The sequence below is a fragment of the Homo sapiens genome, chromosome 1 (assembly GCF_000001405.40).
Source record: "Homo sapiens chromosome 1, GRCh38.p14 Primary Assembly".
Taxonomy (NCBI): domain Eukaryota; kingdom Metazoa; phylum Chordata; class Mammalia; order Primates; family Hominidae; genus Homo; species Homo sapiens.
This window is the reverse complement of record NC_000001.11, coordinates 232,342,931-232,370,457: the sequence shown is the minus strand read 5'-3', so window position 1 is coordinate 232,370,457 and position 27,527 is coordinate 232,342,931. Positions and strand designations below refer to the sequence as shown.

The following is a 27,527-nucleotide window of genomic DNA, read 5'->3' as shown; positions in this document are numbered from 1 at the left end:
ACCCAGCAGAGTAATCTTTTAAAAATAAAAACATGGTAATGTCACTGGCCTGCTTTAAATCTTTAAATGTCTCTCCTTTGTTCTTCGGGTCATGCTCTGATGCTGTGATTGCAACCTCCTCGCCCTCTGCAATCTGCGCTGCTCACTAAACCCACAGCCAGGCTGGTGTCCTCTTTGTTTCTCAACCTGGTCAGAGGCCCTCCTGCCTCCTGGACTTGCGGGTGCTCCTTGCTCTGATGATGTAGCGTCACTGCCCACTTGGACTGATCTCTCGTGCTCCTGTCCTCCAGCTTCTGTGTCACTTCCCAAGAAGAGACATTCCTCATCACCCAGGCCAGGCTGGTCTGCTACAATCACATAGCTCCCTGTATTTTCTCCCACAGCACTTTCATCACGGTGATAATCACTGTGTGACTATTTTTATAATATCCCATTAAGCCACAAGGTCCCTGAGGACAGAGACTATGCCTCTTGTCACACTGAAGGCCCAGTGTTGAGTGTAGTACTTACTATTTTGTAAACATGAAACAAATATTTATTGAATAAATGAATGCGCAAGTTAAGGAATCCCAGTTCAGCAACGAAATCAACAGTCAACCCAGTGACTCATAGAGTGAGAATAAAGAGTGGAAGAGCTGTCTGGACAGAAGCAGCATTTTCCTTTGCTGATTTCACACCATCTGTGGAAATAGAACTTTCAGAAATATGCCCCCTGCCGAGTCTTCCCAGAGTTGACGGTTGTGTCTTCTAGAATGAAAGGCTGGTGGACATAGAGGGGCAGGGTTCAGAACCAACACCAAGAAGAACCATCATCTGCTCAGAGCTGTCCAGCATTGGGATTTGCCGCAGCAGGGAGCCTCCTCTCTGGAACGCTGAAGCAGAGGCTGAATAACAGGTGTGACTCTTGCAGGGGAGGCCACATTGTTGAACAGCCCTTCCTACTCTTGCGATGCTGCCCTGCTGTGCAATCCAGCCCTTTTGGAATGATGGCCATTCCTCCCACTGTCATCTCCTTCCCCTGGAATCCATGCCCAGCCTCGCCTGCAGCTCTTGCTGCTGTCTCTCTTCTGGTTTTCTTTCTGTTAAAGATGAAGAGCAAACCATCAGAACTAGGAAACCACCTCCTAGGCTGGTCTGACACAACTGGACATTTGTCTTTCTAGTTTATCATTTGGATATCGAAAGATGAGGTTGTTAGAGAACAGTGCATATTTGAAATAAAGGTCATTTTGGACTTTTGAACGCAGAGGAAGCCAGCTGAGTGAGACAGAGAGAGAGATGTATGGATGGACAGACAGAAGGCAGGAAGAGGTAAAAATGAGAGGGAAGCTAGCTGAGTGAGAGAGAAAGAGACAGAGACAGAGAGAGATGTATAGATGGATGGACAGACAGGAGGCAGGAAGAAGTAAACATGAGGAAGTGAAGGACATAACATTTGGACCTTGAGAAGTAGTAAGAGGGGTATGTGTGTGTGTTAGAGAGAGAGAGAGAGACAGAGAGACAGAAAGAGAGAAGAAAGAGGAGGAGCAAGAGGAAGGGGAAAGGAGAGGGGAAAGTCCCAATTCCCAGCTTTCATGTTCCAGTTTTATTCTCTGTGTGGCTATAACTATAATTATATTACTGTTATATATATTATATATTATTATATAATATAAATATGACATATATAAATATGGTATATATAATATGAAATATATAATGCAAAACATAATTATAATATAAAATATAAATATATAATACAAAATATATTAATATTATATATAATACAATATATTATATATTGTATTATATATTATATACAATACAAAATATATTATATATTGTATTATATATAATATATAATAAAATATATTATCTATAATACATAATAAAATATATTATATATAATACAAAATATATTATATAATGTATTATATATTATATGTAATAAAATATATATAATACAATATATTATATATTGTATTATATAATATATAATACAATATATATTATTATTATATTATATTATTATTATATATTATAATATATTATTATATATTGTATTATATATAATATATAATACAATATAATACATTATAATACATTGTATTATAATACAATATATTATATATTGTATTATATATAATATATAATAAAATATATTATATAGTATTATATATAATATATAATACAATATATTATATAGTATTATATATAATATATAATACAATATATAATATATTGTATTATATAATATATAATACAATATATTATATATTGTATTATATATTATATAATACAAAATATATTGTAATATATATAATACAAAATATATTATATATAATAGAAAATATATTGTATATTATATATAATACAAAATATATATAATAGAAAATATATTGTATATTATGTATAATACAAAATATTATATATAATAGAAAATATGTATAAGTAATTTATACATATTATAAAAGATATATTATTAAAATAATATATATCATTTATATATAAATGGTATATATTTATAGATGAATTTTTTTTTTACTGCAAATTGTTGGAAATTATAGCTTGAGAGATTTTCTGCTGTTTTACATCAACATTTCCTAACGAAGATTGTGTACATTTTGGGCCCAGTTTTTCTGAGTCTTACGTAGATTTCTGCTGACGCCATAGCTGCAACCCAAACTGGAAGAAGATATCCTACCATGCTTAGCCATAAATTTAAATAACTGAACAGTTTATTCACCAGAGCACGACTATCCAGGGTCTGTTTCCTAAGACACAGCAAACACTCTGACGGCCATCCTGGGTTCTCTGCTAACTCACCTGTTCTCCTAAACAGCAAAGGGTCAAAGGACAGGTGGGGAAACCACGGAGCACCTTGCATTCCTCTGCCCCTGTTTTCCTCTCTGCAAGTCCCTTGTGTATTCAGTTTTGCAGTCAGTCTAGCTAAGGAGACTCTGAGTCAGCACTCTCTTCAGCCTTCAAGCACCGCATTGTTGGCCATCTCCTGATTCATGCCATCAAACCCAAGCTTTGCTTTTGACACCAAGATAAGCTTAGTGTAATATGATCATGTCATTGGTTAAAGAAACAGAGCTAAACACCTGTGCATTTTAGCAGAATGGATGTGGCTTCAAGTCTGAAAGTCGACTATCTTGCAGGGTGGTGTTGTCTGCCTCTGCAGTGATGAAAGCAGATGGAGGCAGTAGCTACTGACGGTTACAGAGTCATAGATGCGGAGAGCTGGAAAGGAACTTAGAATTAATCTACACTGTGTCCTTTATCATTTTAAGCATCAATTAAAATTTATGAAATCATACATAGAAACCTACTCATTGAAAAACACCAAACAGCTGTAGAATAAGAGGAACTTTCCATCTTTCATCACATGCCCCATAGTAATGGTGTCTGTGGATCATCATCTATATTTATATACAAGTCTTATATAAATGGGATCTTTCCATGTTTATTATTTTGAGACTTATTTTTTATTCCTTAAGAATAGATCTTGGAGGTCTTTCTATGTCAGTGTGTATTATTTTAACAATTGCATACGATTGCATGGTAGGACTGTCCTGCAGTTCAGGTGATAATCTCCCAGGAACAGACTTTTTGGGGTTTTCCCAGTTTCTTACTATTACAAACAGTGCTTCCATAAATAATGTTTACTTAAATTTTTGTGCACCTGTGCAGGTATTTTTTAAGGTTAGTTTCCTGAATTGGAACTGCAAAGATCATATGAATATAAAATTACATAAACACTGCCAAATTTTGTTTTTTGTCTTTTTTTTTTTTTTTTTTTTTGAGACGGAGTCTTGCTCTGTCGCCCAGGCTGGAGTGCAGTGGCACCATCTCGGCTCACTGCAAGCTCCGCCTCCCGGGTTCACGCCATTCTTCTGCCTCAGCCTCCCGAGTAGCTGGGACTAGAGGCCCCTGCCACCACGCCCGGCTAATTCTTTGTATTTTTAGTAGAGACGGGGTTTCACCATGTTAGCCAGGATAGTCTCAATCTCCTGATCTCGTGATCTGCCCACCTTGGCCTCCCAAAGTGCTGGGATTACAGGCATGAGCCACCATGCCTGGCCGACACTGCCAAATTTTGATCCCAAAAGGATATACCAATTTATCTTCTACCAACATCGAATGAGAGTGAATGTCTTTTCCTGCCAACATTAGATGTTTACAATGTTTTTAATTTTTGTTAATCAAGTAGATAAAAAAGAAATTATATTGCTTATATTGAATTTCCATTAGTATATTTTCAAGTGTTTATTGGCCATATGAATTTCTTTATCTGTTACTTGTTCATATCTTTTTCCCTTAAAAAGCATATGCAAAATCAATAATAAAATTGATTATTTTTTAACTTTTGGTCTTGTAAGAACTCCTTCTGTAGTTTGTGCATTAAGAATTTTTTCTGTATGTTATGAATATATGTTATATAACAGATATAATACATATTTCTTATATATTTCTAATATATAAGACTATATTTTTATAGTCTTGCTCATTTTTAAACTTTATAACATTTTTGTCGTAAATTGTTTTGATTTTCAGGTAAACACAATTGTCTACCACTTCCTTTAGAACATTTAGGTCTTACTTCTTGTTTAGAAAGAACTTCTGCATGCCAAAGTTATAAGATTATTTGCTTATTTTTATAAAACTTATATTATTTTGCCCATTTACATCTTAGGCCAATTTGGAATTTGTTTTTATATATATGTGAGCAGAGTATCTAACTTTATTCTTCTTTCACAGATGAGTAGCCAACTTTTCTGTCACAATGTGTTGAACTAATCGATGAAATAATTTCATAACTTTTCTGCTGATTGGAAATGCGAATTTTACCACATACTGAATTAATATGTTTCTTCTCTCTCTTTTGATGCATGGATTCATTGTCCTATTTGGCTAATCTGGACTATGAATATTCTGGGATTTTTCCTTGTTATTTCTTCTTTTATTATAGTTTTATGGAGATATAATTCACATGTCATACACTCCGTCCATCTAAAAGGTATAATTCAATGGTTTGTATTATATTCACAGATTTGTGCAACCATCAACATATTCAATTTTAGGACATTTCATCACCCCCGAAAGAAACCCTGTACCCAATAGCTATCATACTCATTCTCCATTTCTCCCCAGGCTCACAGGTTCTAGGCAATAACTATTCTCCTTTTTTTCTCTATGGATTTCCTATTCTGGATATATCATAAAAATGGAATCATACACTCTATGGTTCTTTATGAGCGGGTTCTTTCATTTAGCATATGTTCAAGGTTCAGGCCTGCTATAGATACTCCCTTTTTTCTTTTTGTAAACATCATTTATTTTTATTGTCATCTAATATTGCATTTTATGGATATACCATATTCTAACTTAGCCATACCTCAGTTGATGAACATTTGGGTAGTTTCCAGCTTTTGACTACTATGAATAATGCTGCTGTGAGCATTCATGTACTTGTGGACATGTATTTTTACTTCTCTTGGATATATATGCCTATGAGTGGAATTTCTGGGTTATATGGTAACTCTATGTTTAACCTCATTTTGAGGAACTGCCAGACTGGTTTTCACAGCAGCTGCACCATTTTACAATCCTACCAGTACTGTATGAGGGTTTTGATTTTGTCACATCCTGGCCAACATTTGTTATTGTCTTTTTTTATTATAGCCATCTTAGTGAGTGTAAAATGGCATTTCATAGTGGTTTTTATTTGCGCATGACTGATGGCTCTGAGTTATCTTTTTATATGCTGATTGAGTAAATGAGATGTATGCATCAGATGAAAGAGTTCAAACACTTGGGTTGTGGAGATGCATGACACAGAAGCGTGGGTTCCCTGATGACTTTCATACCTGCTTAACTGCAGCAGCATTTACTTGTCATGGAGGAATAAGGCAGGCCTATTTTTAGTCTTCACAACATACTTGTGGACCTTTCGCTTATACTCTTGTAACCTAAATATTTGAAAACACTGACTTAAATATTTTGACTCTCTCTCTTTTTTTTGAGACTGAGCCTTGTTCTGTTGCCAAGGCTGGAGTGCAGTGGTACAATCATAGCCCACTGCAGCCTCAAACTCCTGGGCTCAAGTGATCCTCCCACCTCAGCCTCTTGAGTAGCTAGCACTATAGGCACCCACGCCATGTCCAGCCTTGTTTTTTTTTTTTTTTTTTTTTTTTTTTTTTTTGTAGAGACAGGGGTCTCACTATGTTGCACAGGCTGATCTCAAACTCCTGGCCTCAAGAGATCCACCTACCTTGGTCTCCCAAAGTGCTAGGATTACAGGTATGAACCACTGCACCTGGCCTCAACTCATTTTTTTTGCCATTGCCTACATTTCAGTTAATAGATAAATACTAAAATCCCAGTTTTGTTGAAGTGACTTGCCCAACATATTGAATTTTCAAGAAGGATACCACCAATGTTAGAATCTTTCTCTCTTTTTAAAAAATAATATCTTAAGTTCCCAGATACTTTTATAAGATAGTTAAATTTCTCCAGTCTAACAAACCTCAGATAAGTGGTTTGATGGGTTTGAAGCTACTTCGTTTTTTGTTTTTTATTTTGAGACGGAGTCTCACACTGTTACACCCGCTGGTGTGTAGTGGCGCGATCTCAGCTTGCTGCAACATCTGCCTCCCAGGTTCAAGCAATTCTCCTGCCTCAGCCTCTCAAGTAGCTGGGATTATAGATGCCCGCCACCATGCCTGCTAATTTTTTGTATATTTAGAAGAAATGGGGTTTCACTATCGTGGCCAGTCTGTTCTCAAACTCCTGACCTCATGATCCGCCCGCCTTGGCCTCCCAAAGTGCTGGGATTACAGGTGTGAGCCACCATGCCCGGCCTGAAGCTACTTTTTAAGGATAAACATTGAAAATAACTTAATGAAGGAAGTGCCATTCTCTAAAGTTAAGTTTCAGGTATATGTATAAACTATTCATTTATGTTGTTAAATGTCCTTCACCCGTGGGCTTTGTTTCCCTTACTTTCTCTTAAAATATGATTTGCAACTATGAGTATAGCTATTAAGTGTTACTTCCCTTTCATCTTTTTCTTGTTCTCTTAAACAAACATTTTGTATGCAGGGCAAGGAACTTGGTGCTGAGTTCTGAGAGTGCCAAGTGTCGGAGGCTTGGTGGGCATTAAGGCAGATGTCTCCCTAGGACTTTAATGAGGGTTGTTTCTTTATCTGCTGGAGCAGATTCCCTGTGCTATGTGGTACTGAGGCACCTGATGAATGCAATGATGAATTTCTACCGCCTCAGATTGCTGAGTTTGGAAAATCTCTTTGACATAGTAAAAGTTGCTAAGCATCTCACCCAGCTGTGGCCATTTTTTGCTCCTGAACAATACAGTGGGACATTATTCATCCCTTAGAAAAAGGCTATTAAAACATCCCACAAGACAGTAAATTACATGGAGCAGGTGTCTCTAAGAGAAGACTAAATATCCCACAGCCAAATATGATGAGCTGGTACTAACCCCTGTTTCTAGGAAGCCTAATTTATTTCTTGTCTCTTAATTAAAATGAGGCTTTAGGCAAAAATGTTATTGTAGTGGCTGGGTCTAATGACAATATAAAATATATTACTCTTGCTTTATCTGCTGAGTTTGATTGGAATAATTTTAGTAATTATATATCAAATTCTTCTCACGGTCTTAGCTATTGGATAGTTTTTAAAAAGTATATTACCTCCAAGATTTAGAAACATAGAGACTAAGAAAGGCTAGGGGGAATTTTCTATAGTAGGATGGCTTGCTGAAGAGAGTAAACCAGGCTTAGGCATCTCTCCTGGTTCAGCCTGAAATATTCCTCTATATCTGCTTATCATATTTGTCTTCTGGACAGGATGGTCTTCACAGGGAGGCCTGTCTGCTTTTTGTGACCCTGGCAGACATTGCTAATCAATCACAGATTTCTCTCATTGTAAAATCCTTCTCCACATTAGGCCCCAGAGAGTCACTGTGAATTGGTCAAAGTTGTCATGCTTCCTGAAACTAATTTGCTTTTTTGGGTATATGTTTTATTGATGAAATGATTCTATGTCTAAAAAAAATTAAAACTGTTGATCTACTAAAATTCCTTAATTTTAGGCATAAAAATGGAAGCTCAGACTTGTCCCAGAACACAGCACAAGTTTATGGCAGAATCAAAATTAGAATCATTTGTCTTTTGTCTGCCAGAAGAATATAATATTCTTTCTTTCTCTTGTCTTTATTCTCAGCACATCTCTGCATCTGTCTACAAACATTTGTCTCTTTTGAATGATCCAGTCCACATACGGAATGGTATCACTTCTAAGTAAATGGTCTATTTGGCAGATAGCAGTAATTAGTGAACCTAATGATTGTGCTTCTCTTTGTAGTTCTACCAGTTTAGCTACCTTTGTTAGCACACACCTTGTACCCACCTGACAAGAGGAAGATGGGGAATGGGGAATTGGAAAGGAAGAGGGAGCAACCTCACTGAATATGGTATGCCAAGCAGTGAACATATGTCGCGTCATCACACTCTGACAATAACCCACAAAGGAGACCAATATCCCATTATAACAGAAGCAGAAAAGAAACAACCCTTATGTTACTTTACCAATAGGAACCTTCTCTAGATTTGACCCCAAATGATATTATTCCAAAGCCTATGCTTTTGAAAACTTAAGAAATGTACAGATTTATTTTGAGAAAAACAACCTTCCATAATTCTTGAGCATACTCCATGAATCTCCTAGATTCTGTGGAGCCAAGTTGGTAAAATACCACATTAGAAGTGAAGTGCTACCAGTTGGAGGAGCAAAATAGCAAAGTAGTTAAGAGCTACTTACTCTGAAGCAAGACTGCCTGGTTGGGTTCTGACTCCAGCATGTTCCAGCTTTGTAAAATGAAGCATGACACTTGATGTCTCTGTGCCTGCTTCCTCATCTATAAAATACATATGCTAATAGAATCTACCTTGTAGGGTTCCTGTGAAGATAAAATGAGTACATGCATTAAAAAATATGTAGACTGGTATCGCCTGGTGTAGAGTTAAACAAATCGGTATGTTGTGCTAGTATAGAAACTGTAAACCAAATGAAAACACAGAAACCAGGCTGTAGTTAGGAACTGATGATCTCAGAATATACATATATTTTTATAGTATTAGCAAAATGGTAATACAAATTTAAAAGAATGCATTTGTAAACATTCTGATCCCTGGGAATCTATCCATCCAGGCTAAATTGAGAAATATTGCACTCTAGTACTTCCTGCAAAGAACGGTTATCTGTTAAAATATTGAGTGAGCCTTGGCTCCTACTATTAATAGAGAGGCTTGTATAATTCACACCCTCTTGTTTATAAATGTGAGAAAATTCTAAAGAGACATGGTTAAGCCAAGGAGACTATTTTAGTTCACCACAATCAAACATGTATAACTTTAATTAGTGGATTGATTATGAATTATTGCCTATTTGCAGACATGAGCTCAAGCTCAGTATTGACATAAATTCAGAGCCTGAGGGAAAAATATGGATTTCAGGCCACAGATGCTTGTTTTGGAGTTAGAAGCAGAGCCCAGATTCCTTGTCTTTCATTGCAGTCCTGGATCCCAAATTCTTTTCTATGCAAACTTTCAAGTTCTTTGTCACCTAAGAGATATGGGTACTTTTAAGTTATACCAGCCATATAACTTAAATCCAATCAAAAGCAGAAAGCATTTTACCCCCCTTGGAACAATTGATGCTTATAGATCAAAGAAAAAGAAGTAACAGGCAGGCGAACAAGCACTAAATTATCCAGCAAACAGCGTCCTTTGCCTCCTTTCCGGTGATCAGCTCTCCTGGTTCAGACTTTTTGTACTGAAGTGCACTTGCATCCAGGAGGCAGCTGGAGAGCACTGGGAATTTTCTCAGGAACAAGTAGCTTGTTGATGAAGGAGAGCAAAGCTGGAGAAAATGCTAGGCAGACAATAGAGAGCCAGAATAAGTGAGATGGGAAGGAAAGCTTCCCATCATTTCCTTCTGATCAATCCAATCACCGAGCCGGAGGTCATGAAGTAGAAAGATCCCCAGGAAACCGAACAGTACAATTACCAAATGATAAGATGTGATTCAGAAAGCTAATATCTTCCCTAAAGGCTAAGGCCAAATGACTTGTTTGAAACAGCCAGGAAGGAAGGGTATTGCTCTTCGTGTCTTCCTTTTCAAGTCCATGGTTATTTGCCTTTTCTCGCTGCCTTATGAGGGCGCTTGTTAAAAATTCAGGAACAATGCCAGATACCAAGGTAGACAGATCTGGAGTATATGACAAATAAAGTAATCTAGCACTATTATTAACAGCAGGTATGTTGCTCCTAGGCTATTTTATGGCTCATTTTGAATGCATTATCTCCATCCGAAAAAGGTAAATGTGATTCTTATGTCTAGGGCAGTTCCAAGAGTCTACAATGAATGGGGTTCCTCTGACAAAGCAATCAACTTTTCCATGGTTGGCAGGTGAGTAAATTGGGTTTTACTAGGAGTTATTAAATATGGGTTTTGGTTGATTTACTACCTGCTGGGTTTCCATGGAAGTTGAGTATATAATACACCAGGCCAACAACATTAATCTTTTGTCCTTAATTCATTGCCGTTTTCAACGTGAAGACGGGCGCAGCAGTACGGACGTTACAGGAAAGCCATTGCTAGCTCTGCTCCTTTAACATGTGTAAAAACATCTGTGGGTGACAGGCAGCACCCCAGCTCCTGGGGTCGTGACAGAGGCTCTCAGGACTCCTTCCTATTGAGATGCACAGTGGTCTAGGTGTTCCCCAGGCAGGAACCTGTGGAATCTTTGGCTTTTCCTTGACCTAGCCCAGCTTGACCCCTCTCTGGACTTTTGCATTCCTGTCCCTCAGCAAGTCGCTGCTGAACTGATGGAGCTCCCGTTGTCTTGATAAGAGGGCACCATTCCTGCGTGGAGGGAGGTTTACATGGCTGCTCCTTCTCCTGATAAGGACACCGAGCCTCCCTTTCTTTCTGTGGCTCTGCTGCCCTAAATCTCTCCTTCCCTTTGCAAAGTGACCAGTGCCAAGAAGGAGGATAAACCTACAGCAGGTGACCCACCCACTCCTAAGGATCACAGTGGGATTCCCAGTCTGCCTCTTAGCTCTTAAGTCTGCTGCAGTTTCCACAGGAAGCCCTAGCTTCTCTGGCCATCCCTTCTCAGGACCACTGTCCCATTGTGGCTAGGTCGATTCTCCAATCTGATTCAAGCTCCCAGGCTTCTGACATCCAAAGCCTGTGCTCTGGAAATCATGGTCACCACCAGCACCTCCTCCCCCAACATCAGCTCCTGCTGGATGGTCCCTTCATTCTCCCACTGTGAAGCAGACCTGGCCCTTCCTGGGGACCCTGTTTCTGCTACATGTTTCAAGTTGGCTGTTCTCCACAGCCTTTCTACTATGCCTGGCTATCGTTGTGTGTGTGTGTGTGTGTGTGTGTGTGTGTGTGTGTGTGTGCGCGTTTGAGGGCGGGGGATCTTTGCTATTTATTAGCATTGGTTCTCTCTCCTCCATAAAACACCCCAGCTCCCCTACTCCCAGTTGTAATCATTTATAGACTCTTTGCCTCATTCATCAAAGGTTTGAGCACTGACTCACTGTCATCATTCCTGGCAATTTCAAAGCCACATACACACTTAATCTAACATCCTCATCCTTGCCAGTGACCTTGTCCTTCATCCCACCCCAGCCACCCCCTCCACTGCCCTTAACCACAGCAACTCCAAAATACTCATTTCAAACACTCTGCTTTCTGACTGCTACCTCGTATCTATCCAGGTCACTCCCTCTCATGGCCTGAATCTAACAATTCTTTGCCCATTAGGACCACCAATCAGTACCCCTACCACCTTGAATCCCCATCATTTTCTCACTTTCCTTTTTTCTCAGCCTACAGTCCATCCCTTTAGTCACTCCTGTACATACAGCCTCAACAATCGTGTCTTTCTATCATAGAATCCTTGAAAAAAAAAAACAGTTAAATTCAGGTGTACTGAGTCTGCATCTGAGTGGTTGACTAGGCCAGAGTGAAAGAATAACTGGATAAACTGGGATCAACTCAAGTTTATGGCCAGACATCAAGATGGGTCCCTCAGGACTGTTGAGCAACCCAGCCCCCAGTCAATTCATTTTCTCACTCCCTGGGACCTTCTGTTCTCTCCTTCAACCTCTAACACCTTGTTCCCACCTTTATTCTCAGCCAATGATCTTGCTTCCTATTTTACTGAGAATGTAGACACAACTGGAAGAAAATGTCACTCTACAGCCACATCCACCAATTTACCTGTCTCTGATGGTGTACCCTGCCTGGTGGACAGCTGTGCCTGCCCCTCATGAAGCCAGACCCTGAGCTTGTGCACTGGTTCCTGTCCCCTCTGGCCTGTTCTTTGCTTATGCAATCAACTCTTTTCTCTCCTGCATCAAAGCTCTCCCACCTGCTGTCTCATTCCCATCAGCAGACAATCACTATCCTTTCTCCCATCTTTAAAAAGAGCTCCTTTCCAGCAACTGCCCCCACTGAATCACTCTGGAGAAATTCTCTATATTCACTGTTCTCTCATTCTCTTTGGAACCCACTTGTATGAGGTTGTTGTCCCCACCAGTGCTCTGAAGTTATGACCAACGTTACCAACAATCTTCACACATGCAAATCCCATAGTTGAGTCTCGAGTCTTTTTCTTTTCTGATTTTTTTTTACTTGGTTTCTGGAACATTCCACCTTCTTGGTTTTCTTCTACTTTACCTACTTCCTCACAGCATCATTTTTCTGGATTCCTCTCCCTTTCCTGACCTCGGAATGTTGGAGTGTCCCCAAGTTCTGTCCTTGGGGCTCTTCTCGTCTCCACTTACATAAAACTTTCATCAGAACCATAAATTCCGAATGTGTGACCCCACCTCTTCATGAACTTCTGACGAACACTTAAGCTGTGTCTAGTAGGCATCTTTACACACTCAATAGAAATTATTTGATTCCCCAACCCCCTGGCTTCAGCAACTATTCTTCCTCCCCTGTTCTTCATCTCAGGAAACTGCCATAGCGTCTTCCCAGTTAAACAACAACAATAAAAGTCCCTGATTAAGGTGACTGTGTATCCCAGTTTACAATGTCAGTCTTTAACCATCCCCTTTAACTGCCAAAAATCTTGGTTTGCATAATAAATTATAGAGCCATGCTTCCCTGGTTCTTTTTTGCTTCTATCAATATTCCCTGTTGAGTCCTCACTCTAAATATATTCCGAATTTACCCACGCCTCACCACCTCCACTGCAGCCACCCCGGTTGGGCCACAATCATCTTAAGTCTTGACTGCTGCTGTGAATGACTAACTGGTTTGTCTCATTTAATTTTGCTCTTAGTGGTTTATTTCCTACACAGAAGCCAAAGTGATCTTTCTAAGAGTCTGCTCATGGCATTCTCCCTGTTCAAATCTTCCAGTGCCTTCCCACTGCCATGAGAATGAAAACAGATATGGCCCAGCCACCTTTGACTTCATTTATCACTCTCTTGTTCGCCACTTCCAGCCCCACATGCTGTAACTATAATAGGTTCGTTGCCCAGTGCACATAGCGGGTCAATACACTGAGACACTGGGTTGCAGCAGAGGAAGAGATTTAATGGTAGGACCACCAAACGAGGAGACAAGAAGAAACCTCAAATTTGTCTCCTCCAGGAATTTGGGCTTAGGGTTTTTACAAGTTTTCGAGTGGACCAAAGTATGGAGATTGTTGATTGGTCAAAAAGTGCAGGGTGAAGTCATGGGAAAAGCAGATGAAGAAACTGTATTCTCGTGCTGATTCAGTTCCCCTGTGAAAGTCTTTAAACGGGTAGTTGCCAGGTGTTCTGCTGAAATTCAGGATCTGCTTAAGCAATTCTTAAACAAAAACCTTCTAATTCTAATGCCAGGAATTTTATCCATAGGAAAAATGGGGATTTGAATGGTCAATATCTAATGCTTTATGACTTTTAGTTACAAGAAAATGGTTAAAGTGCAGCCTGATTAATGCTTCATTTTAACTCTATTTCTGTCCAGAATTCTTGTTAACGCTGTGAAGACGGCTTCAATGCCTCTTAGCTGTTCCCAACCCACATTGTCTCACCTAGGGTTTTCTGCTTTTGCTGTTCCTTCTGCCTAGAAGGCTTTCCCCCAACAATCAGCATGGCCTGGATGCTCACCTTGTTCTGGTCTCTGCTTACATTTTGTTTTGCAGAGATTGTTGCCAGGTCCTTCTCCACTGCCTTACCTGGCTTTGCTTTTACTCTGATAATTTGCTGTTACCCGTCATTGTATCGTGTTTGTGTCTCTTCCACTGGCAAACATGCCCCATGCCAACTTTGTCTCTTTTGTCTGACACTAGTTTATTAGACCCTGGAACAGTAACAAGCATAGGGTAGGGCTACTAGAATAAATATTTTCCAGTAAATATCTATCTATTCAAAAAAATGAATGACTGGTTGAAGGGATGAAGCAGATCTCTTTTATTTGATTGGTTTCAATAATCTCTGTGCCAAGCAGTTTACTCTCATATTTAGTCCTTTTAAAAACAGTGTGGCTACTGCTATCCTCCGGATTTTACAGACAAAGGAATGCAAGTGCAGAGAAGACAAGGACCTTGCCCAAGGTCACCTGACTGGTAAATGGCTGAGATGTTTTTGATTCCAGACAAGCTAAGTCCAGAGGCCAAGTTCATCACCATAATGCTATACAGCCGTCCTAATGTTATCAGGTCACAAATTTAAGACACTATGGATTTTCACAAGGGAGAGAGTCTGGTGGTTTCTTGTAAATGGTGACTTTGTTTAGTTTCTGTCTTCTCCATGGAAGGTACACCTCCTGAGAGTACAGTCTTTGCTGGATGTGTTTGTTGACTAGGACTAAGCCCTGGCTTGCCTCAGCTCCTACTTCCCTAACCATCGCAATGCCACTCAACACCTGCAGATATAGCCTCTCCCTGACCCTGGCCCAATGAGAGCCCCACGCAGGGCACTGCAGAACACGAGCCATGGCCTTTTCTTCTGTTCATCCTTCTTGGCAGTGCCTTTGAACACTGAGCAGCCAGCTTGGCCTCCCTGCTCCAGACCACTGTGAGTAGCTCGTTAGCTTATCTGGTCCTTCTGCCTGGGCCACTGGCTTAAGTGTCTGTCTTCTAGTCATGTGCTCAGTGTCTGGTCCAATCTCACAACCGTTCTGAGAATAGAATACCCACATCTGCACACCAATCCATCAGCCAAATGATCTAACTTCCTCACCCAAATCTAGTGGTGCCCTTGCTTCCTTTTCTCCCTGGGCTGACACTTGCTCCACTGTCTCTAATTCTGAGGTCTGTGCTAACTGAAAGCTTTCCAAAATTCTGTCCTCCTGGAAAGCATTCTGGACCATAGACCTCATCCTGGATTGGGCCTGAGTTATTGTGATCGTTATAACAACATTCTTGTTGTTGTTATTATTATAGCAGCCAATTTTGTGAAGCACTTTCCATACAGTATTTCCAATAATTTTCACAGTTACTCTGTGAGATGGGTACTGTTATCATTCCCATTTTATTGAGGAGAAATCTGGAATTTAGGGACATAAGTAAGGTTAAACCCCAGGTCACCCACTTGGCATGCGGCAGAGGTGCGATTCGAACCCAGGTAGCCTGGTTTCCAAAGACACTTCCCTACTCCCAAACACCCGTTGCAGGGTGCTGGACTGAGGATTCCCCTACTAAGACAGGATGATTTGCCCCAGCCACCTGAGGGGTTCTCGGGAAGTCTGGTCCAATGCTAGCTCAGCTTTGGTTTGTGCTTGCATTCACCTGTTTCAGGTAGGAGTAAGGGAGCTTCCAACCTGGATCCCAGGCCACTTACACAGCCTGTGTCCCCTGCGCCTGGATGGACTGCCTAGCCCTGGACCACTATTGCCTCATCTTTGATTCCCACATAGTGCTCAATGCATAGAAGGTGCTGGAGAAATCCGGCTAAATGAATCACCATTGGCTTGTTAAGAGCATGCCATTGGAGGGAAAATTATTTATTATAAAACAAACCTGAAAAGGGAAAGGAAAGACTGAGTGCTGGAAGTGAGAAACAAGATTGGAGATCAGGGAGATCGAGTTGGAAGAATATCCATAGGAAGGAGAAGAAAAGCATCAAGAAGCTCCATAAATCACAGCAGCAGTATTTTTACCTACATTGTCCTTCTTTATTTTACGTCCCTGGCACCAAACAATTTATCATTCCCATTTCATGCTAAGTGCTACAAAAATAGCAATTGGCCCAACATTTGAATGGGAGATAGCAGTTTCAAAATAATAGCAAAACGTGAAACTCTCTGAATTCTGGAATTTTCTGTAGTGTCCTCTCCACCCCCACCACCAATTGCAGGTGTCTTTGCCCTGCATGGACACAAAAAGGCCAAGGGTAACAGACCTGGGAGGGAGGGGGAACCTTTTCCTGATATTTAGTGGCGAAGCTGAATGTGGGTTAATCTCACTCTTACATTCCTCTATTTCTGCCCTGCACAAGGCATTCTAGCCAGAAAACCCAAGATCACCTTCCGCTTCTATTGTAGGGTGTAGGGGGTGTTGAGAGGGTAGGTGGCAGGTGTTTGGTATTGGTGGGCAGCCCAGAGCTGAGCTGTAACACTTCCAAAGCTAGCAAGGGGGGCGGGAGAGGAGGGGGAAAGGAAGAGGAGAGGGTTTGATGCTTTCACAAAGCCTTAAAGGCAAAAATACTTAGACAAGAAAGCTTTTTAAAGCAATGACTATATAGCTCTCCCCCATTCCAGGTCTTTTCAGAACTCATTGAGTGATTAGAGTTTTAACTCATTATTTAGAAATAAATACTTGGAAACCACTCTCCAGAGTAGATACTTTAAAATCCACCTCCCCACCCTCAGACTCTTATTTATATTTGAAAGGAAGGATTACTTTTTCCTTTGAAAAGTAAACTTTTCTGTCAGCAAATAATTACAGCCAGCACATTTCCAGTGGATGAGATTTGGGAAGCCCCTCATTCCTTCCCGTTTGCTTGTGGCCATCCAGCAAGGACTGAACCAAAGAGTCCCAGCCCCGTTCAATCAGTCATACTTATCATCAATTTCCCAGCATTTAATGTGTCCCAGAGATTATGCAAAGAGATTTATATGTAGAATCCCACTTAAAGCTCTTGCTTTTAAGGATGAAGAAATTGAGGCTAAGACACATGGCTGGAATCCAAACTGAAGATGGTCAGATGCTAAAGTGCATCTCATGAATCATCAACATCAATGGAAGACCACACCACTAGGATGGAAGAGAAGTGGGACATCCAACACAGCGGAGGAGCCCACTCCATTCAGTGGTTTGGAGCATTTCCAGGCTGCTCCTCTCAGCAGTGGGGCCAAAGACAAACCTCTGACGGTCGTTCAGCTTGCTCTTTCTCTGGCCAGCTCAGTGGCTGCAAAAGTAGACAGAAGGCAGAGCGAAAGCACTGAGCCGTCCATCCACTGGGACAATGCTGGGCTCCCCTTTAACAGGAAGGGCTGCCATGGTCCTCTTGGAGTCTGCCCCTCCCAGGCCCAGCAAACTCATTTGCTGTTACACAGGGGCCATGCTGAAGTTTACATTTGCACTGACTCCCCAGCCTCATGCTCTACAAGTGGGGAGAAAAATGATACCTCAGGCAGGAGATTTCGCTTATCTCTTTTCTCCCTAAGTCTTCTGCTCAAAATAGCAGGTCTGTGATGTTCTAGAAGGTGATTGCCATCATGCCTGCTGCAAGCGCATGGGCAGTGTTGATAAGGGTATCTTGCCTCTGACCTCAATCTTATTCACCAGTTCCTATCTCACCAGGGAAACTGATTGCTGTCTGAGCCTTTTATCAGGCAGCAGGTAGGAAGGACATCTGTGAAAGAAAGAGGAGGTGTCAAAGGATGGTGTCCCCAGGGAGCCAACATGACTAGAGGCGAATGCCACATGTTTTAAATCCGGAGGCCCAGGCTCACATCCCTCTGTTTTCCCGCAAAGCTCTAGCCATGCCTTCCAGTCCTAGGCCTACTGTCCGCCACCTCCTTGCTGCCGCTCTGGGCCTGCCTTCCTGAGCCCTTGGATGCTCCCAGTTTATTTGCAAGGATGTTCTTTCCTTCTTCCAGGGCTTCAGGATGTGCTTTGCTCTGTCCTTCAGGCATAACTACGGTAGACTGTCTTGGAGAGTGGCTATCCTCCCTGATCCATATTTCTAAGAACTATGCATCAGCCACTTCCCTTGCTGCCATATTATTAAGTGCACAGACACTGCCCTTACTCCTCCACAGCCGGTTGGGCAAGGATGATCTCCTGACACACTCCAGAGGGCCTCTCTGGGGCCATTCTCCAACTGTGCTCTCTAAACAGGGAAGGAATCTGCAAGGCCAAGAGAACTGCCTGGAGGACCCTGAGCCAGCTCCCACCAGCACCACCCTGAAGAATTCCCTGCTCAAATGTCCCTGAGTCCACTTTTATGGCTTGCGTGGACCTCATGCTCAGGAATGTCTTACTGGCCAGGCTCTGCTGCCTGCGTGCTCACCTCCAGGTGTGAGAGGAGCTAAGGGTGGCTGCTTTGGGGGCGTAGACACAGCCTGGCCATGAGGGCAGGGGGGTTCACGTGGGGGCATGGGAGCACACTCGTGAGGCAGAAAGAGCCAAGTGTGGGAAGAGAACTGGGGCTGGTGACCAGGGGATGGGAAGGATGAAATTCTAAATTTGAACCTGATCTTCCAAGTCATTTTAAAATTAGGACTTAACTCACATACCATAAAATTTACCCTTTTGAAGTGTTCAATTCAATACTTTTTAGTATATTCACAAGATTGCACAATTATAATGACTATCTAATTCCATAATACTTCATCACCATCCCCCTAAAAAAATAACCCATACCAATTAGTACTCACCCTCCTGGCAATCTTTCCATCTTTATAGAGTTGCTCATTCTGGACATTTCATACAAATGGAGTTATACAATACGTCATATTTTGGGTCTGGTTTCTTTCACTCAGCATAATGTTTTTAAGATTCATTCATGTTGTAACATGTATCAATACTTCAATAGTGGCTGAATAATATTCCACTGTACCACATTTTCGTTATCCACTCATTCATTGATGGACATTTGGGTTATTCACACTTTTTGGTAATTACGAACAATGCTACTATGAATGTTCACTAGTTTTTAGGTGAACACATGTCTTCAGTTGTCTTGGTACATACCTAGGAGTGGAATGGCTGGGTCGTGGTAATTCTAAGTTTAACTTTTGAGGAACTGCTAGACTCTTTTCCACTGTGACTGTGCCATACTTTTCATTCCTACCAGCAGTGCGTTAGGCGTCCGGTTTCTCTACATCCTGGCCAACACTGGTTATTGTCTGTCATTTTGATTGAAACTATCCTACTGGATATGCAATGGTATCTCACTGTGGTTTTGTTTGCATTTCCTTAATGACCAATGACGCTGAGCACTTTTTCATGTGCTTTTCGGTAATTTGAATATTTTCTTTGTAGAAGTATCTATTCCAATCCTTTGCCCATTTAAAAAACTGGGTTATGTTTTAATTGTTGAGTTGTGGGTGTTCTGTATATATTCTGGATACTAGATTCTTCCCTAGTATATGATTTGCAAATATTTTCTCCCATTCTGTGAGGTGTCTTTTCACTTTTTTGATGGTGTCCTTTGAAACACAAAAGTTTTTAATTCTGACAGTGTCCAATTTACCTATTTTTTTTCTTTTGTTGTTTGTGCTTTTGGTATCACATCTGAGAAACCATTGCCTGATCTAAGGTCATGCCTATGTTTTCCTCTAAGGCCAGGCCATCTTGAAAGAAAAATTGTCAAATAGGGAAAAAACTTATTTAATATTTCAGTTTGTTAACTGAATTAAAAAATTATAAACATTTTTACATATGGTGTATGGCCCTCCATTACATGGTCTCAGGCCTTGTAAAATTCACAGTGGATCTTGACGTTGAGTAGCAGAAATGACATGACCTCCTGAAGTGATGGATGTGTTAATGTTGCTCTCTGTCTGCCTGTTTCTCATACGTCCTGTCTTTGCATTTATTTTGTAGGAAATTTCTCACCCATATGTGACTGAGCCCTGGCAGATAGTGTCTTCTCCTAACCATCATCATGTCTTCTAAGTTTTATAATACTATTTAAATTTTAAGACCAAATGTATTGAATCCCACTTACTATTTATATTTTAACACAGATGGCCCTAATTTTGACATGAGCTCAACGACTCCTTTTTAGATCAATACATAATCCTTAAGGCATCCACTCAGGAGAAAATACAAAGAAGTCATAATTATGGTGTTGTCTTGGATGCCTGCTACCTGGAGAACTTTGGAACTTCAGAGTAAGGTCCAGAGTAGTGAGTAGGCCAAGTTGCAGAGAGGTAAACTGAGTCACAGGGCAGAAAACTGACTGTGTTGGAAGGACGTAGGTAGCAAGAGTTAGACCTGTAATAGAGTCAGAGTTAGAGCTGCCAGCCTAGTGCCAGCTCCTTCTGAGCTAAGAGAGAGCCTTTCCCATGCTACAGGGCCTTTCCCGGTGCCACAGCGGCTTCACGTCTTGTTCCTGTGCCTCGAACCCTGCCCCATGCTCCTACTGTCTCCTGTCTTAGCCAAGCCCCAGCTGCTGCTTCCTCTAAGGAGTTGCTACCTGCTTCTCGCCGGGCTTCACATACTTATCTCTCTCTCTCTCCGTGTCTCTTTTTAAAAATCAATAATCACGTAAAGTCAGGGAAACTCCAGACAATCTTCTATGGACTGCTTTTTGCCCAGATGAGAGTGGTTGGGTGACGACAGGTGCCTGAAATTCTCAATTCCCGTTTCAGTCCACTTCCTACTGAACAGGTGTCAAGGTCACAGCACCTTGCTGCCCCTTGGTACTAACCCCATTTCCTGTTGTCTGAAAAGGCAGGAATTAGATGGGCATAATGACAGAGCTGCTCATTGTAAAACATTGACCAATGCTGGAGGCAGCCTAATTCTATCAAATTCCTCATAAGCTGAATTGTCAGAATTGAGGAGTTAAAGCCCAGTTTCTGTTCTTCCTTAACGGGGGTCTTCACAATATACATTGTTTGTGCACAGTATTTAGATATAAATGAGGACTGGATAAGCATAACCATGGATTTTAATTCAGCTGATTTTGGCCTTTGGAAGTAACTACTCAGTTTTAACATCTAGAGTGACTATCAGATGAAGATGAAGAAGGAATCAGCGTTCTAAGAATTGTCCCCCAACTCCAGTCAATTATTCAATTGTAAAGGATTTATTGCTAGGGAATGCCAAGCATAATCCAGAGGAAACACAGGCAAAATTTACACAGCCTGGTCAGTATGACCAGTGCTGGCCTTGGGGGACTCCCAACCCAGAAGCCAATTTATAAGCTGGGTGCTCAGAGGAACCTCTCCCTGCTAGCTGAAGAGTTAAAAGTCGGGAGACATGCAAGACCCCCAGTGTACTGTGGAAGAAGTGGCTTCAGTGACCTGAAGCCTTAATTGAAGTCAGAAGATGTCTCTCCTCAACCCAGCCCGCCCTGCAGCAGGTGGTCCTATCACTGCCTTTCTCCACTCGCACAACAGACCCTTTATTTCATGGTAGACAAAGGTCTGGGAATGGGAGCAGCAGTACCAGATTATAAACCATACATTTTCCAGTGCTAAGTAGCTCAGACTTGGGACTCTCAGGAGTCTGGCTGTAGAGTGCTATAGTCTATGAACAAGTTAATTTTTTTCCCATTTAAGCACAGAAAAAAAACATCTTTTCTGATTGTTGTTTAGTTCAATGTGACAGTTCAAACTTTGACCTTCCAAGTATAGATTTCTTTCTACTTCTTTCCTAGGGGTATTACCATTAAACTAGTACTAAGGCACAGCTCGGGGAGCACAAAGCCACTGTTTAAAGGCAGGAGTCCAGAAGTGCAGGGAATGGACATCTTTCATAGGACCACAACATAGAGATTGACACTGGGCACATAAGACTGTACATTGAACATGTTTGTCTAGTAGCCATTGCCAAGACGTCCCAGCTGAAGTGCCCTTTATTATTATTTATTTATTGTAGAGACGGGGTCTTGCTATATTGCCCAAGCTGGTCTTGAACTCCTGACCTCCAGCAATCCTCCCATCACAGCCTCCCAATGCACTGAGATTATAAGCGTGAGCCACCACACCTGGTCAGCAAGTGTCCTTTACAATTTACAAAGCCCTGGGTGGGGCCAGGCATGGTGCCTTACACCTGTAATCCCAGTACTTTGGGAGGCTGAGGTGGGTGGATCACCTGAGGTCAGGAGTTCAAGACCAGGCTGGCCAACATGGTGAAACCCTGTGTCTACCAAAAATACAAAAATTAGCCGGGCATGGTGGGATTAGGTAGGCGCCTGTAATCCCAACTACTTGGGAGACTGAAGCACAAGAATCACTTGAACCCGGGAGGCAAAGGTTGCAGTGAGCCGAGATTGCACCACTGTATTCCAGCCTGGACCACAGAGTGAGACTGTCTCAAAACAACAACAACAACAACAAAACCTGGGTGGGATATGTATTATCTGTCCACCCACCATCTTCTGGGATATCGTCCCCCTTCAACTGCACCATGTGTTTCCTATAGGAGCAGCCATACTTTACAGGTCCTGTCCCCTTAGCCACAGGTGGTTGGGCAAGAATTGGTCACATAAACACAGATGGACTAGTAGGATGTCTTCCCTAAGGTTTTTGGGAGCAGAGCCAGTTCTCTCTGTTGGTAGAACGGGATATGAAAGTTGGGAGTTGTCACAGGCTTTGGACTCTGACACGTGGAAGAAGTCAGTCTCCAGAAAAAGGCTAAAACCTCCAAGCAGAGAGGTAAGAAAAGAGAAACTTCTTTGCAGCATGCAATTTGCCGGTTCTGGGACCTGTTGAAAATAACTAAATTATATTTTGTATTATTCCCCCATGTGAAGGGGCACACCGTCTTCCTTCGAATAGTTTTTATGAGATCCTCTAGCATCCTTATACAAGATCCCCCATTGCGCCTAAACGTGGGAGCCCTGTTTTTTTTGAAACCAAAATAGCTTTGATTGTATTACACACATTATCTCGCATGAATCTCCTAACAATCCTGTGAGGCAGACATTATTACCCCAATTTTGGAAATAATAAGAATGAGGCCCAGAGAGGTTAAGTAGTCTCTTCCAAAGTCATGTAGCTTTTGAAGGCAAAATCAGAACCCCACCCCAGTCTTGACTGACAGGCCCTAGGTGGAAAGAAATTCTTCTGCTTCCAGCTGTGTCATGAGAAGACCCACAGACTACAGTCTGCACTGCTCTGCTCTGTCCTTGGTTCTCTAAGCTGTGACAGCCAAGCAGGCTTGGACTGGAATGCCTTTGAGAGCGGAGCAATTATAACAAGGAAGGTGTATTCCCTTAGCATGCTTCCCTATCAGCCTCATTTGCAGAATGTTCTCTCCAGCCCCTGACACTACTGCTTAGACTTTAATTCATCAGCTCAGCTGCAGATGGTGTCATCCTCTGGGACTTTGCTGGTTATTAACTATCACCAGCATTCTCACCCCAGAGCAGGCTCCAGCTGACTTGGATTTTGGGTGAATTATACACTATCCATCCACTACCTCTTTCCCAGGCAAGATCCTTTTCAAGACCCCAACTATGCAGGCTCTTCCCTGTGTCCAGATACCCTGACCGGGTGTTTCCAACTCAGCCAGAAGTTCTCAGTTTTGTATTCTACTCTGAAGATGCTGCAGGAGTTTTTCAAAGGATGACCAAAGCTCCAGCTGCATGGGCACAGCTGGCTGGCCCCTTCCACCTGTCTCCTGCCTCTCCTCACCCCACAGGGAGCCACAGTCACCTAAGCAGCCATAGAACAACACAGCATTGCTCTCACCATGGCCCCGCAGTAATTAAAAAGAAACACTCAGGTTAGGTGGCAAAGCCTAACCCCGCAGGCAACAAGGCCATTAAAAAGCCCGCAGCCTATCCTTGGTTCAGTTTCCTCTTTCCCCTTTCTTTCTACCTGGGAATCCAGCTTGAGACCTAAAGGCAAGGGCTGGCCAGCTTCATTATTCATGGCCCTTCCTCGCCAGCAAATTAGGACTGATGTGGCTGAGGTTGGGACATGGAAATCAGGATTTCATATGGATCCTTTTCCTCTTTTACTAAACTCTACGTGGGGTGAACAGGGATTAAAAACATTCAAGCAAAGATGGTAATTTCATTTTTTAAAAGAGGAATTCCTATGTAGTTACATCTTCTCAGCTCTCCTTTTTCCACAGGGCACCTGCTCCTCCCTGACCTTCCACATATCAATCTTGGTGAAGGGTGACACCTGAGCAGCCAGCCTCGGTTTTACAAGTGTGTGCTCCGGGGCTCTAGAGATCCAAAGCAAGTTAGCCAGAAAGGCAACTGGAGAAACCATGTCCCTCAGTCAACGGCTTTTGTCCATTCATAGATGTGTCTATGTCTATGTCTCTCTGCCTTCAAATATAAAATGTCCCAGTGAAGAGCCCTGTGTTAAATGACTCAGACCTAAGACTCCCACTGGGTCTATTACATCCAATCCAACAGTGAGATAATTGTCCTTGTTTTGAATACGGCATCAGATTTTTCCACAGAGTCGTGTAGTTGAATGTGTCTGGACAAATGATAATTGTCCATCAAAGAGCAATATTCTTATTCTCTAGCTCTACTCGAAGGGGACAAAATGGAATGGCCAGCTGGTGCCAAAATACAGCTTACAATTACCAAGCCATGCTGCCTCGCAACAGGAAGTCCAGAAGACGGGACATCATATTTGATGATGACATTAGGAGTAAGGACATCATTCACAACTTAAAGGATCTACAGGCTATCCAAGAACCAAAGGCTTAGGTTCTTAAGCCAAGTAAATAAAGAATACTTGCATCTGAACACCCTCAAAGATCCCACTAAGCTCTCTAGTCTTCAGAGATCTGATACACCCTCAAAACTTCCAGTTTTAAACATTCCTAGAAGAATGATTAGACCCAAAATTTCTAAATTACGTGACATTGTTTGGCTCTGTGTCCCCACCCAAATCTCATGTTGAATTGTAATTTCCAGTGTTGGAGGTGGGGCCTGGTGGGAGGTGATTGGATTACGTGGGTGGTTTCTAATGGTTTATCACCATCCCCCTAGTGCTCTCTCATGATAGAGTTCTCATGAGATCTGGTTGTTTGAAAGCGTGTAGCACCTCCTGCCACTGTCTCCTGTCGGCCATGTGAGGATGTGCTTGCTTTTCCTTTACATTCCATCATGACTGTAAGTTTCCTGAGGCCTCCCAAGAAGGAGATGCCTGTACAGCCCACAGAACCATGAGCTGATTAAACCTCTTTTCTTTATAAATTACTCAGTCTCAGGTATGTCTTCATAGCAGTCTTAGAATGGACTAATACAGTATGGATGTCCTTTTATTGACCTAGATGATGCACAATCAAACTTCAGCTGTGGGCACTATGACTCATGCCTGCAATCCCAGCTACTGAGCAGGCCGATGTAGGAGGATTGCTTGAGCCTAAAATTTATAAAAAATAAAACAAAAGACAAACAAAAAGCCCTCAGTTGCATAGAAATATGAAACAGGGAGGTTAGGCAGGTGGTTTGTTATAAGAAGTCAACCAAGAATCAGAAGGAGCAATAATAATACTAGTTAAATTGATTGAGTACTTACTTTATGCAGTGCCTTGCATTTTACTGAGTATTTTTATTTTTATTTTTTATTTTATTTTACTTTAAGTTCTAGGGTACATGTGCACAACATGCAGGATTGTTACATATGTATACATGTGCCACGTTGGTGTGCTGCACCCATTAACTCATCATTTACACTAGGTATATCTCCTAATGCTATCCCTCTCCCCTCCCCCCACCCCACCACAGGCCCCGGTGTGTGATGTTCCCCTTCCTGTGTCCAAGTGTTCTCATTGTTCAGTTCCCATCTATGAGTAAGAGCATGTGGTGTTTGGTTTTTTGTCCTTGCAATAGCTTGCTCAGAATGATGGTTTCCAGCTTCATCCATGTCCCTACAAAGGACATGAACTTATCCTTTTTTATGGCTGCATAGTATTCCATGGTGTATATGTACCACATTTTCTTAATCCCGTCTATCATTGATGGACATTTGGGTTGGTTCCAAGTCTTTGCTATTGTGAATAGTGCCACAATAAACATACGTGTGCATGTGTCTTTATAGTAGCATGATTTATAATCCTTTGGGTATATACCCAGTAATGGGATGGCTGGGTCAAATGGTATTTCTAGTTCCAGATCCTTGAGGAATCACCACACTCTCTTCCACAATGGTTGAACTAGTTTACAATCCCACCAACAGTGTAAAAGTGTTCCTATTTCTCCACATCCTCTCCAGCACCTGTTGTTTCCTGACTTTTTAATTATCACCATTCTAACTGGTGTGAGACGGTATCTCATTGTGGTTTTGATTTGCATTTCTCTGATGGCCAGTGATGATAAGCATTTTTTCATGTGTCTGTTGGCTGCATAAATGTCTTCTTTTGAGAAGTGTCTGTTCATATCCTTTGCCCACTTTTTGATGGGTTGTTTGTTTTTTTCTTGTAAATTTGTTTGAGTTCTTTGTAGATTCTGGATATTAGCCCTTTGTCAGATGAGTAGATTGCAAATATTTTTTCCCTTTCTGTAGGTTACCTGTTCACTCTGATGATAGTTTCTTTTGCTGTGTAGAAGCTCTTTAGTTTAATTAGATCCCATTCTCAATTTTGGCTTTTGTTGCCATTGCTTTTGGTGTTTTAGACGTGAAGTCCTTGCCCATGCCTATGTCCTGAATGCTATTGCCTAGATTTTCTTCTAGAGTTTGTATGGTTTTAGGTCTAATATTTAAGTCTTTAATCCATCTTGAATTAATTTTTGTATAAGGTGTAAGGAAGGGATCCAGTTTCAGCTTTCTACATATGGCTAGCCAGTTTTCCCAGCGCCATTTATTAAATAGGGAATCCTTTCCCCATTTCTTGTTTTTGTCAGGTTTGTCAAAGATCAGATGGTTGAAGATGTGTGGTATTATTTCTGAGGGCTCTGTTCTGTTCCATTGGTCTATATCTCTGTTTTGGTACCAGTACCATGTTGTTTTGGTTACTATAACCTTGTATTATGGTTTGAAGTCAGGTAGCGTGATGCCTCCAGCTTTGTTCTTTTGGCTTAGGATTGTCTTGGCAATGCAGGCTCTTTTTTGGTTCCATATAAACTTGAAAGTAGTTTTCTCCAGTTCTGTGAAGAAAGTCATCGGTAGCTTGATGGGGATGGCATTGAATCTATAAATTACCTTGGGCAGTATGGCCATTTTCATGATATTGATTCTTCCTATCCATGAGCATGGAATGTTCTTCTATTTGTTTGTGTCCTCTTTTATTTCGTTGAGCAGTGGTTTGTAGTTCTCCTTGACTACATGATTATCTCAATAGATGCAGAAAAGGCCTTTGACAAAATTCAACAGCCCTTCATGCTGAAAACTCTCAATAAATTAGG

General features: G+C 41.4%; 1 long non-coding RNA gene across 1 annotated transcript; it reads right to left on the bottom strand.

The window, feature by feature from the left end:
* Nucleotides 1–517: 517 nt before the first annotated feature.
* On the bottom strand, nt 518–8,956 carry LOC105373196 (uncharacterized). The gene is made up of 3 exons (XR_949273.2): nt 8,824–8,956; nt 3,087–3,225; nt 518–1,079 (listed from the first exon to the last, which is right to left on the bottom strand). It is a non-coding gene; the product is annotated as an uncharacterized LOC105373196 (long non-coding RNA).
* Between the last annotated feature and the right edge of the window lie 18,571 nt (nt 8,957–27,527).